Here is a 14,388-nt window from a genome sequence, read left to right on the forward strand (position 1 = left end):
AATAAAACTGGAAAATAAACTGCATGATTTAAGTATAGGAAATTTGTACCAGAAATACAATTTTGGGGGAAAGTACTGCTTAGGTAAACATTTCTGTATATTAGGTTATTAAAACACCAAGTGTGAAAATCTGGAAGAAGTTAAGGTGGAGAACAAGTACGAAGGGCCTAAGAGGAAGAATGCTTGTCTCATTTAAAGCAAAGTCATGAGGCTGATTGGCTCCTGAAGAAAAGCTGAAGGGAAGGGTGGAAGGAGGTAAGATGAGCAAGGTAACGATGAACTAGACCCTGGAAGGCCATGTAGACCATTCAAGGTAGGTACAGAGCTTCATGTCATTCTGCAAACTGTCATCAGTGTATGATTAAATGAACATGGAAATTGAGAGTAAGCATTTGAAATTTTGTGGGTGTAATTCTGTAAAATAATTCTCTGAAAGAATTTACTTTTAATTGGCCTGAATTAACATTTGTTATTTTACTTTTAATAATTTATTTGTATATATTTATAAAATATCAGTACATGATGGGTTGGACACTTTAAAAGATACTTAAAAAAATGTTTCCTGCTCTCAGATAGTTCAAAAGGCACTGTAATCACTTTGACTTTTATTCAGTGAGATAATCAGAGAAATGACCTAATCCAAAATATTTTAAAACTTACTACATTGTCTCCTGGAAAAACAGACTATAGAATGGTAGACAAGGGTATACAAGGGGAAACCAGTTAGAAGACCACAATCACAATCATTTTGAAATCCTCTTTAAAAAACAAAACAAAAATATCTCAGTCCAGCAGGAAAATAATATTCCCATGGAACTGAAAAGAAATAGATTCTTGATCGGCACTAACGCTAAGACCAGCAGGATTTACCGATGGATTGTGTCATGGTTTACAACTGCCTGGGGCTGGCGCATAGGTGGAATAATTTACCAAGACAATTCTAGGAAAAAAAAAAAAGGCAGATTTATTAGAGAAAGCACAAAAGTATGTTGCAAGCGTGCAACAATGCACAACACAGCAGGGAAGGGGCTGTCTGCAAAGAGGCAGGTCTGGAGGGAAGTTTTATTAAGACCCTGTTGCTTGGGCTGAATGCTTGAAACAGGATGCTTGGGTGCCAGTGAGCCATTTGCAGTTGACCCTATTTCTCTGAACATTTCCTCCCCTTTGCCCCTATTTCTGTTCCTGCCAGCTAAGCCCATTTTCACATTTCTCTTATCTCTTTAGAGCTCCACAGATTGGACCTAGATATTAAAACAGAATGAGATTTCTGACTGTCTACAAGATTTTGCCTTGAGTTACTGGAAAAAAATGGAGTTGGATTTGTCATTTACTGAGACAGACAAAGATGCAGGCAGACTTATACATGTGGTGATGGGAGAACCTGAAAAGTCTGTTCATATTTCTTCCCTTTCTTCAACGAATTTGGAAACAAGGTATCAAGCAAAAATGAGGACTGTCAGGACAGGTGTAAGATTTGAAGGATAAATAGAATTTATAAAATAACAGGAAATAAAAATATGGTTTTAAAAGGTCATCTCATGTTAATGGCCATGGATTTACACATTTGACTGCACAGGCAAAAGTATCAAGGAAAAGGATATGGTATTTCACCATGTTTGGAGTTGCTCCCCAGACTACAATGGAGAGAGGAACTAAATTGACAAATATATTAGGAAGTGATGATAATGATAAACCAAGGGAACAAATTTAGTGAGGAGCAAATTGAAGACGTGAGAAAGGGGAGTAACAGTAAGAAGTGGTAGGACGAGGGGATTGATTGTCCCTTTGGAGACCAATAATTTTTGAAGTCAGAGACCTAGAGAAATAAGAGGAGAAGGTAATTGTAAAAATGAAACTCTTGAGTTTGAAGTTGTGGATGATTGTTACTTACCAATAACAGTAAGATGTTGGATACGACCATGCATGGTCTGCATGGCAGAGAAGTTTAGGAAGTATTTCGCTAAAGAACATCAAGTCCAGGGCGTTAGAAAGATTGTCTTTGGGGATATTAAAATCATCATGGTTCAGGAAAGGAGTAATAGTGAAAAGAACACTAGAAAATTAAGGGCCCATATCTTCAGGAAACAAGGAAAGCATAAATGACTCCAAAAGACTGAGTATTGAAAGTAACAATCTGATAGCATTAGCTTCAAATATGGCTTTAATATTATGTTTTGTCAATGCTGTTGTTTAATAAGCGTTATATTTTATTCTGGGCATTGTCAAACTGTAACTGTCCAGGGGAATAAGTTCAATAACATAGCATAAAGTACATAGAGATGGTTTCTTCCATGACTTTCACGTCTCCAGGGAGAACAACTTGGTACAATGAATAAAAGTTACAAGGCAAACATCAGCTCTAAAAATTCAACATTTTAAATACTGGTTTAGTTTAGAAAAAAATGAGCCACAAGTCACTGAATGTTCAAGCAAAGTCTGCATGGCCATCTGTCAAGAATTTTGTAGAGAAGATGACTTACTTCATAGGAAGTTTTTTCCCCCACTTTGGCATTTTACTCTAGTAATAGAAATAGCAGGAAAATAACATATACTGATCAAATAAACTCTCTCTCCTCCCCACCCTCATTCGCTTTCTCTTTTTTGCCTTCCTTCCTTCCCTGTTTTTCATCAAGTGCCAGACACTGTGCTAGACATAGTGAATAAAGAGTTAAAAACGCATCCAGTGATTTTAGGTACTATAATTCTAGTGTAGGGACGGGAACTCAAAAAGTGGATATGCATCTTCAAATAAATGTGTTCATGAGATCGTAAAAACACAAAAGAGAGCAGAATCAAATATGGCTTTACAGAAGACAAAATGCTAGAACTGGTTGTACAAGATGAGGATTTTGATGGCTTGAGGAAAGGGGAAGCAGATTTTAAGAACTAAGAAAAGCGGCCGGGCGCTGTGGCTCACGCCTGTAATCCCAGCACTTTAGGAGGCTGAGGTGGGCGGATCATGAGGTCAGGAGATCGAGACCGTCCTGGCTAACACAGTGAAACCCCGTCTCTACTAAAAATACAAAAACCCAAAATTAGCCGGGCGTGGTGGCGGGCGCCTGAAGTCCCAGCTACTCCGGAGGCTGAGGCAGGAAAATGGCCTGAACCTGGGAGGCGGAGCTTGCAGTGAGCTGAGATTGCGCCGCTGCACTCCAGCCTAGGCGACAGAGCGAGACTCAGATCTAAAAAAAAAAAAAGGAACTAAGAAAAGCATGTGCGTAGACCTGGACAGACGAAAGAGCAGACACTAGGAAACGGCCACGTTACTTCTGTTGGGGATATTCGGGGTGGAGAAGAGCCACTGTGGGTGAGAGGAAGGGATGAAGCAAGGTGGGGCCTATAAGCAGGATCTTGGTCATGAAGGTCCTTGCAATACTACTCTGCAGCCAGAGAGCTTGTTTTGTCTCTTTGTTTGGTTCTTGCTTACGTCTCCTAAAATGCAAATGTGGTCTGTCATATTTTTAAGAGTAACAGTAGGGTCCGCCAAGCTCTTATGTCAGTATTCTTCCTAAATTCCATCTGTACTTATTCTCTCTCAACTTTTGTCCCCTCCACCGCTATCAGGTTTTTGTAAATCTATGTATTCTCTTTTGCCCCAGAGCCTTGTTTACTCTGTTCCCTCTATTTGGAACAATCGTCCAGTTCATGCCTCCATGCCTCCCTGCCTCCATTCTCCTCACATTTAGCAGGGAAATCCACATGCAGCTTTGACATTACATTTTGCAACTTTGAATTACATTTGATCACAGAGCCTTTGGCTGACCCCAAAGCATTGCTGGGTTCTCTGTTTCTAAGTTCCTTCCATGTGCCATTGCTTATTAAAGTTAAGTCGTTCATTATTGACTAAGGTTCATGAGACTGGGAGTTCCACATCCTCTTGGCTTCTGAGACATAGTAACGAGTGGATGTATGAATGAATGAGTGGCTGAATGAAAATGTGCATGAACGCTGTGGAGTATAGACTCTTTTCTGCAGGTGACTGAAGTTCAATGGATCAAACAGGGAAGTAACTAACTCCAATGTGTTTTAGAAAATTCCCTTTGTTGAAAGGGCGGGGGGAGGGAATCTGGAAAGAGACAGGATTAGAGGACAAGTGTTATATCATAATATGAATTAGGAGGATACTTTTAACAGTTTTAAAAAGAAGACATTATGGACCAATAGCAGAGGTCGTGTAGTGGAAAAAAATAGATTACAGAGATATTTAGAGGGTGAGCAATAATTAAATGGATGCATAAGGTGGGAAAAACGTGGAGGTGGCAGTGGTGGTGAAGATAACATGATTCTGGCTGATCAAGGAGGTACTGTTGTCTTTCATTAGAACAAGTATTGAAATCAGGATAGCAGGTCTTGGGATGAGGCAATTGGTCCAGTTTTAAACAGGACTAAACTATTCATGTAGAGAGAAAATTGGCTTTATGATATATCTATTATTCTATTCTTAGGTTTGAGCAGGAAATCTAAATTATAGAATCAGTGTATATCAGTTAATTTTTAAGTAATGAGAATGAATAAGCAGCAGGTAAAATGTACAGTGATAAGATAATAGGGTAGAACAGTATCCTGGGGAGCTTCAACCTGAAAAGATGGCCAAAAGTGTATATGTGTGGTGTGTGTACATGTGTATGAATGTGTGTGTGTGTGTGTGAGAGAGAGAGAGAGAGCCAAGTTATAGGACAATGGGGACAGATTTTTTACATGGAAGCAAAGGGCAAATACATTTTTTTAGAGCAAGTAATCAAAAATATCAAATGTGGCGGGGGGTCAAATAAAATAGATATGGGAAAGTGTTCATTAGATTTCATCACACACAGGTTATTGCTACTTATTGTCAGAGAGGTTTCAGTCAAGTGGTAGGGTCAGCAACCAGACCATAAGTGCTGAGGAGTGACTAGGAGGAAAAAAGTTAATAAAAGGGTAGACGTCGCCATGGAGAAAAGTAACTGTGTTAGGAAAGAGAAGGAAAGTACTCAAGCATTCAAGCTAGTGGAAGGGTATTTGTTAAAATGGTATTAGCCTCAACTGCAGTGATATTTCAGAGTAGGAATACTTGTTTTGCATAATGAAACAATAGCTCTTAGATAATTCTATTACCTACACAAAGCAACGTGAGCACTCTAAAAATATCAGTGCTTATCCTGCTAATATTTATAGCATCCCGTTTTTTGTTTTAGTGTGAGTGTATCAGAGTTTGTACCCTAATATTATAATCTGAAAGTTAAGGTAATAAAAATGCTTGAGTAGGTACTTAAAAGTATTTTGTGACTCTGAATGGCTATTTAAATCTAAAATATCGCTGTTACTCTTTCAGCAACAACTGGTTTGGGGTACTGAATAGATATCCATGTCTATGGCAGCCTACTTTTAAAGTTCTACATACCATAAGGAGACAAGATTTCTGTCGTGCTATCTCAGTAGACAATTTATCATTGACAGTCACTTCTCTTAAGACTGCAGTCTAATTTTTAAACACTCCTTTCCTCAACCTTCAACTAGTTACAATGTCACTCTATGTATTAAGTCATAAATATTTCATGTTGGAAATTTGTCAAGGAAGGGGAAAAAAGCAACATGCACATAGTTATTCCCTGGGTATATTCTCTAATAGCTAAAGTGTCTTACAATAAGGAAATTAAGTAAATTATGGTGCATTAACTGGATAGCATATTATGCTGCCTATAAAACAATGATGAAAATATTTTGTGACATATAAATATGGTGATTTAAAGTTCTATTAAAAAGTGGACTCTGCAATGATTTGGTTTTATTACTGTTTCAACCATAAAATAAATATATCCCTATTGGCAATATTTGCAGGAGAATATGTAAACATAAAAATCGTGAAAAGTATGTTTTTTTATATATAGAACACTTTAATTTTCTCAGAGCTCACTTTAACCTTTTTCAATAAGAAGAAGCTATGTTCTAGGCACTGTTGCTATTGTCTCAATTTATCCAGCTGCATATAAGACAGATAGTAAAACAAATTGTCAGAAATTAAATCTATGACACCTATAATAAAAGGGTTGCTTGGATTTTGTAAATGACATTACATTTACAAAGGTAACATTTTAATGTTATTTTCTTTATCGTACATTCACCAGTGAGTCAAATACATTAAATTTCTTCACGTAAATTGGCCATACAATCCTCTATCTCCAGGATTTCGTAAGTGACTTTAGAAATTCTTATCTAACCACAAAAAATCCAGAGTCTTTTTGGTTTTCTTGAAAATGACGTTATACTCTTTGGTGAAAGCAATACTTGGGCACGAAGTTCCAACTTCACAGATGGCTATTAGACTTGAGTTGCCCTGAGACAGCATCCTTTTGTTGATCTGTGTTATTCTATGTTGCTTGAAACTAGAAAGTTTTTAACACCTCAACAAAAGTTTAAACACACACAATTAAAAACAAAGCATAATTGCTTCCTTTGATCTATATAGAACTCAATGTCCTGGAATTTTGTTGTTGTTGCTTGCTTTCAGAAATTTATTGTTTAGTTAATGAGCATCTGATTCAGCATCAGGCTAAGCCCTATAGTAAAGTCAAGGAGGTCTAGAAACTGTTTTTGGTGTCTTTCCTTGAAAGAACTGTATACCATGGTGACACTAGTATGGTTCTTTTACTCTAATATCTTTCTTCATAGCTATGCTTGGTCTAATTTCATGGTATTGAGAAAAACAGATTTTGGGGGCCTGATGAATGTTTTCCAATTTAGTAAAAGACATCTACCCTACCCCCAGTCACAGAGACTAGGCTAATCTTTGGATGGATGAGTTAACATTTTGGACTAAAAATTCTGAAATAAAGGTCAGTATTAGTGAGATGGGCTAATCTTCTTGAAGAGAAGCCCAGTAGTTATTTACATCACATTTTTTTTTTTTTCTTGGCTGACCATCTATTTCTCACTAAGCTTCTCTGATACAAGTTACTTAGGAATAATATGATCTCAGTTTTCTGATTCTCCTCTAGAATATAAATTTATGTGAAGTCACAGAATTGTACTATTTTTGAAGTTAGAAGACAGTAAGATGTCACTTACCTCAATCTTCTCATTTTACAAATGAAGAAGTCATAGTTGTAGAGATAAAATATCTTCTCTAGGAAACTATAGATTCATAAATATGAAAAATGATATTTTTGGCTCTCAGATCAATTATTTCTCTTGATCATTCTTTCTTAAATGTTATTCCATTTTGACAATATCCCCTACCATCATTTTGCAATATGAATATTTTTATATGGCAGGCACTTGCGGCTATATTTAAAAGAAAGCACAAATTCATATGTTTCACATATACGTGCATTATGTTGTAGCTTCTACAGCTTTCTATAGTATATATTTAAAATTCTTTCCTATCCCATAATTAGCTCATATGGTCATATAAGATTGATGGTTTGATTTTGTAAGTAGGTATAAATTTTTAAACATATAGAATGGTTCTAAAAAAATGTTGTACTTTTTTTCCTTCAGAACTGTTCTTTATAGTGATATGTGATCAGGAAGGCAAAACTCTCAATTTTCTAAACAGTGTACATGCACAAGAGGTCACAGTTAAGGTTACCTTGGGAGTTCTAATTCTGAATTTCCTGACTTTTGTGGGTTTAAATCACAACTTTAATGTTCCACTAATGCAGGGTGTTTTTTTTTACACTGATTTGTTTTATGTTTTTTATTCTGTACTAATGGACATTGTTGATTTCTATGAATATCAAAAAGAGCTCAGTATTCTGGTAAACTCTTTTGAGTTCACGTTTTATTTTTTAAGTCCTTTTATTTGAGTTTGACTAAAACAGTTTAAAAGCATTTCTATCATAAACAGTTTCTTTTTATTTTACAGACAAAGACTGTACAATATTGTTCTTTGTATTTATCATTAAGAACTGCCTTCTAAAAACTGAAAATTTCATGATTTGTTGTATTGTTCTAGTAGCTTTAGAATATCACTTAATCATTAGGCCAGTATCTTTTTCATTTAAATTTAAAAGCGTTATATTGTTCATCAGAAAACAAATAAACAGGAAGCTAAAACAAAACAAAACAAAACCCCGCAGTTAGGCATGATTCTCTATCACGTGTATACCCATAGTGCAGCTTTTCAATTTGGGGATGATGGTGAGGCTGAAGCAGGAGGATCGCTTGAGCCTCAGCTAGTGAGCCAAGAGTTCAGTGAGCTGAGATCGTGCGATTGCACTCTATCCTAGGTGACAGAGTGAGACCCTATCTCAAAAAAATATGAATTTATTGATAAAAGAATCATGTTTTCATATTTTTATGCAGTCAGAATTCTCAGCTTATTGCCCAATTAATATTTATTGAGCTAAATAGAATTCTCAGCTTCTTAAACTGTGTTTCTCTCCATTTTCTATACCAAAGTATGCCTCTTTTTAAGTTGGGAGTCGCCACAACGCCTATTTCAAATTAATTTAGTGATAGTTCTAGAACTGAGTACTATCCCAGAGCAATAAAGAGAAGAAAGAAGTGACTTGGTAATTATTTATATACCTATAATATGAGCTTAGTGAAAGCTTAGTGGAAGCAAGGACTGTGTTTTGGTTACCACTCTGAGCCAGTAAGTGTAATATAATGCTATTTGAAATTGGTTCTCTAGATTTTAAATGGTGCGTTTACTATTTTAGTATTATGTTGACCTCTTTATAATATGACAAATATAAGACATTTTCATACACATTTTACATATTTTTTTCTTAAAATGTAAATAGTCTCCTGAAATGTTAAGTATATGAGTTTTTGAGGAATTAGAATTAATAGCAACAGATAGAATATTTGAAATAACTGATGATGTTTTATGCAAAACAGACAAAGGAGAAAATCCAAATGGTTAAGTTACTAATAATGCTCAAATAGTTCCAATGGACCAAATATGAATGATTCTTAATATGCCACGGTATTTAATTCCCACATCAATACTGAAGGCTATTCTTATTGTCAGATGTGAAAATTACTATTCAGAAAAGTAAAGTGTCTCCGCAGAGGTAAAAGGGAGAATCCGGATGTGGTAGGACATAAAGCTGAAACTAAAACTCACACCCAAAAAATACTTTGGAAACTTTTTTGGGGGGATCCATTATCTATTAAATTTGAATATTGGTATACTCTTCAATCCACAATTCTATTCCTAGGTTATATACAACAGAAACATATACTAATATTTGCAGGGAACCGAAGGCCCATGGGACGTGACCAACTCAGCATTCCACTGGAGGCTGTATGATCAAACAGCAATCTGTTTATCATGAATGCAGGATTTGAGCAAACTCATGACTGCTCCTGCCAACAGAAGGTTTGCTGGAGGCAATCACTGCCTGGCGCCGAGGATATCTACTGCGACATCTAGAGAATACAGTCTTGCAAGCCTACTCTGGACTGAGCAGCTGACCCCTTCTTTCACCACCCCCACCTTCTCACTGTCTCTTTTGCCTAATAAATACGGAGGGCTGTGTAAAGCTCAGAGCCCTTGTCCACTAGAGGAAGGTGCCCCCGACCTCTTCTTCCAAATATACTCTTTTGTCTCTTGTCTTTATTCACGTGTTCACCCCGCTTTGTTCAGTCCAACAGGTTCGCGGCATAGTGGCACCCCAAACAGCGACAGGATCGGGTGTTCTACAAATATTCACCAAAATTCATGCATAAAAATCTTCACTGACTTAATTATAATATTAAAAACAACAGAAACATGACGCTGCACTAAAGAAGGCAGACAAATGATTTTATGCCATAGGATTCCATTTCTATACATTTTAAACAGATAAAACTAAGTTGTGCTTTTGAGGTAGCATAGTGATTATTTTGGAAGAGGTATTGATGGGAAGGAATGTTTCTGGGAGGTAGATGATTTTTTATTCCTTGATTTGAATTTTGGGTACACAAATGTGTTCAGTGTATAAAATCCATTGAACTTTATATTTATGGTTTGTGTACTTTCCTTTGTTATGTAAATCTTCACTATAATTTCAATTAATCAAAATATCGCTAACATGAAAGTAAAATGTATTTTGGAGTCATGTAGATTTAGGTCCAAATGCATCTCTGGTATTTAAGCAACTTTTGAATTTCAGGTGGGAAAGTAGAACTGGAACATCCACGTTATAATTTTTTTTTAAGATTAAAACCAGTGAATAGACCCTTTATAGCAAAAAAATAGATATTTAGATAAAGCTATTATGTTTTTGTTTGTTCATTTTTATTTAAAAGTTCAAATGCATAGCAAACACAACTGGAAATCAAATCTATGTTCGATTCTAAAGCCATGGTTTTTCTTTAAATCTTGCTGCATCTCTCCTGATGTGATTCTTCTCTTAAGGAACAATTACGTCTTACAGCAATGAGGAAAAATTATTACAGAATGTTATATTATGAAGCATGATTAGAAAAAATTCAACTCTTAATAATCACTTATAGCCTAAATCTTTCTTAAAAAATTCAGAATGAAGGAGAAAATATTTCAAGTTTTGATTTGCCTGAACTCTTAATGGCCTCAAAACAACTAGTCATGCTGGTACCAGATGTTCTTAAGAGCAATTTTGACTTAGCAGATGATATTTATTTCATGAAACTTCAGGATCTGATGACTTGCAACTTAACTAAGGAGAAGAAAAAATCAAGAGGGACAGAGAGAGAAACAGATAATGTTCTTCATAGATCTCTTTCTAACTGTGTCATCCTGTCATTGAACTCCCAGGTAATGCTGGATTAACAGCTTGTATATTTCTCTGCCTTCAGACAGAACAAAAAGATATCCATTTTTTTAGGGTACTCTTTCTTATATGTGGAAAATGCCATAATTTCTTGTTTGACTCACCATGTCTCTTGCAGGTGGCTTTTGAATCACCCCAACTTCTTTACCAGCTGATTCATTGAAATCAAATAAAAATGTGGGGTTCATTTAAGTGAGGATACAGATTATTTGCCTCTCCTCATTCTACAAAAGTATAACTAAACTCCCTTGGCATTTCTTGGATGAGTTTAGACACAGAAATTTGACTTTATGGCAATGTTAGAAGTCAGGGCAGGAGACAAGCTTGGAGCCAGACATGAGATCTGCCTACTAGTTCTGAAGGAATAAATGCAGATGTTGACATTGATTAGGCAAAATAGTACACTGAGGATGAGAATTTTTCATACATGATTCATTACAATGCCTAGCACCAGGAAGGCTAAAATGAGGTATCAGAATTACAATCAGGGGCAAAATTTCTGTGTTGGGCAATAAATGACTATTCTGTTATGAAAGTGAGCATTTGACATTTAAGATGTGTATCCATAAGAAACAGAGACCCAGTCTCTTACTTTGTGATTCCACTCAATGCAGAATTTCTCTTAAAGTGATGCCTTAAGATCATGGGAAAGATCAAAATTAATGAACAACAAAAAAAGTACAAGCAGAGTTAAACGAGTATCAACAACTGTGGAAAAACAGGTGTGTACAAGAGGTCTTTGTGGCATTGAACCCAGGTCTAATAATCAGCACAGGAATATTGGAGAAATAAAGATCTTTTTTTTTTTTTTTGTGATGGAGTCTCGCTCTGTCACCCAGGCTGGAGTGCAGTGGTGCGATTTCGGCTCGCTGCAACCTCCACCTCCTGAGTTTAAGCAATTCTCCTGCCTCAGCCTCCTGAGTAGCTGGGATTACAGGCACGCCACAACGCTCGGCTAAGTTTTTGTATTTTTAGTAGAGAGGGGGATTCACCATGTTGGCTAGGCTGGTCTTGAATTCCTGACTTCAAATGATCCACCCGCCTGGGCCTCCCAAACTGCTGGGATCACAGGCGTGAGCAACTGCGTCTAGCCAGGCTCTTCGTAGAATAGTGCTTGGAGTAAGAATATTCTAAGCAACAACAAATGAGGCTGGGCCTTTGCAACAGCAAGTTAGCATGCTTGAAAACTGTTTCGTTGTTGTTGTTTTCTGGAAACATAGGCAGGGCTGCTTCTCAGGAAAGCTCAGATATTTGGAGTCTAGGGCAATAGGCATATGAGGTTCAGTTCACATGTGTCTAAAATATTTCTTAAAATGTAACTGTATTCATTTTCGGAATTTTTTTTTCCAGGAAAGGCAAACCTTTCCACTAAAAAGAAATTAGTGGGTGCTGGTGCTGTGCATGGAAATTGGCAATGATTGCAAATGAGTCTGAAGGATATTTTTTATAATGAGTGGAAATGTTCTACAGCTGGACTATGGTGATTGTTGGACAACTGTGCAAATTTACCAAAATTTATTGACTTGTATGATTAAATAGAATTTTCTGGTAAGTGGATGATACCTTCATAAAACTGTTTAAAAGGCTTTGGTATTTAGACTTCTCTGATTAGCTGGCTTTCCACCCACTGCTTCTTCTTTATATCTTTTACATTAATTGTTCTTTCATTTTGTGTGATTCCTTGTAGTTAATAAAATCCCTTATGAAAAAAAAAATCCCAAATGAGCTCACATTCCTTACATCAGTAAAAATGCCATTTTTTTCTTTTTCTAGGAAAGCAGAATACAGAAACAGATTAAATCACTGTCACTTGTCTTAAGATACAAAATGTCTCTGGGGTCTTATCAAAATATAAGCCTCTGTTCTGTAATTAGAGTAGGACTACGTCATGCCTGCAAATCTCTTTTATAATCCTCCTTTACGTTAAAATCATACTAGCCTTTTAAAATGTATACTTTCATAAAATAATAGAAAGACACCACCTTTTGTGCCTTGTGGGTATGAGAGAATTGGGATGGAATGCTACCATAGACTAACCTCCAAGGAAGTTAGAAAAGATGACAGAATGGCACTCCCTCTTCCCAGCCCTCACCCTGCAGGACTTACTTGGAAATAGTTCCATAATATGTCCTTCCAAAACTCAACTGTAGCCCAGAGACAAATTCCTTTGTCCTGGGCCCTTTTCTTCCAACTAAACAAGGCAAACTTTTTGGATTAAGACTGATGATTGGATAAGTCTATCTTCAGGCATAGGGCTTGAAGCAGGGAGGGGGGCACCTGTCCATTTCCTGGCCTTGAACTTGATAATACATGAAACCAATGGGAAAATAGAGACAAATTTTTATCTCTAAGAGTTCTGCAGTTTTCACTTTATCAAGAACAAGAAGACTTAAATTATGGCCTGAATGATGTGTGAGAGGAAGTCCAAACTTTGGTATATTCTAAAATTCAAGAATTATTTGAAATGCTCAAGAAATGTTTTTCAGGAAGAGCTGTATAAATGCAACATTGACCGGACAATTGCATGTTCATGAAGACTTCCATATAACCTTTACATAGGAGAACAATCTGAGCAGATATAAAATACTTAAAATATAATTTTTGTTTTATATATCCAGTAGAGTACAAAAGAATATGTTTGAGATTCCAGGTTTTATATATTTTCAGGTTTGCTACAGGGCTTTAAAAATTAAAATATTGTGAGAATAGTTTGTAGTTATTTCTAAGCTATAATCCTCTTTATTTATCTATAATGCATTCCCATTTTTCAATGTACACCTACTGGTCTTTATCACAGGGAAGTGTTATTTCACTAAAGCTTTCTTATTTGCTTCTGCTTTTCCCTTATTTCCTACTTTTTTCTTTGTTAATATTAGTTTTGGAAGGCTGCGTCTCTATTTTCTGTCCTCTATTGTGTTGTCTTTTTGATTTAACCTTAGAAATCTCTTTGACCTTTTCATCTGTATTCTGGGAAGGCTTTTTCTCACTCCATCTTTTCCCATGTCTGAAACCACTTTTTACGATATAAATCCTGCATTTACTTTCTCTAATGTGAGGGTTTGTGTTTTGTATTTTTTAGGTTTCTTGTAAACATGTCTTAAATCCCCAGTTTTCCATAATCTCAAGTTATTCTACATATATTGTAGTTTGTTGGCTGCTGATATAGTTTGGATATTTGTCCCCACCCAAATCTCATGTTGAATTTTAATCCCCAACCCTGAAGGTGGAGACTGGTGGGAGGTGTTTGGATCATGGAGGTGAGTCCCTCATCGCTTGGTGCTGTCTTCATGACTGTGAGTTCTCACGAAGTCTGGTCATTTAAAAGCGTGAGGTACACCTTTCCACCTCCCCACCTATCTCTCTCTCTCTCTCTCTTTCTCTCTCTCTGTGTTTTCACGTTGCGATATGCCTGCTTCCCCTTCATCTTCCAGCATGATTCCTAGACTTCCTGAGATCTCCCTAAAACCAAGCAGATGCTAGCATCATGCTTCCTATAAAGCCTGCAGAACTGTGAGTCAATTAAGCCTCTTTTCTTTATAAATTATCCAGTCTCAGGTATTTCTTTAAAGCAATGCAAAATGGCCTAACATAGCTCCTTATCTTCTTTTGCCAGATTTTCTTTTCCTTTCTTTATATTGTGGTAAAAACACATGACATCAAATTTACA

Source organism: Homo sapiens, chromosome 5 (assembly GCF_000001405.40).
Source record: "Homo sapiens chromosome 5, GRCh38.p14 Primary Assembly".
Classification (NCBI taxonomy): domain Eukaryota; kingdom Metazoa; phylum Chordata; class Mammalia; order Primates; family Hominidae; genus Homo; species Homo sapiens.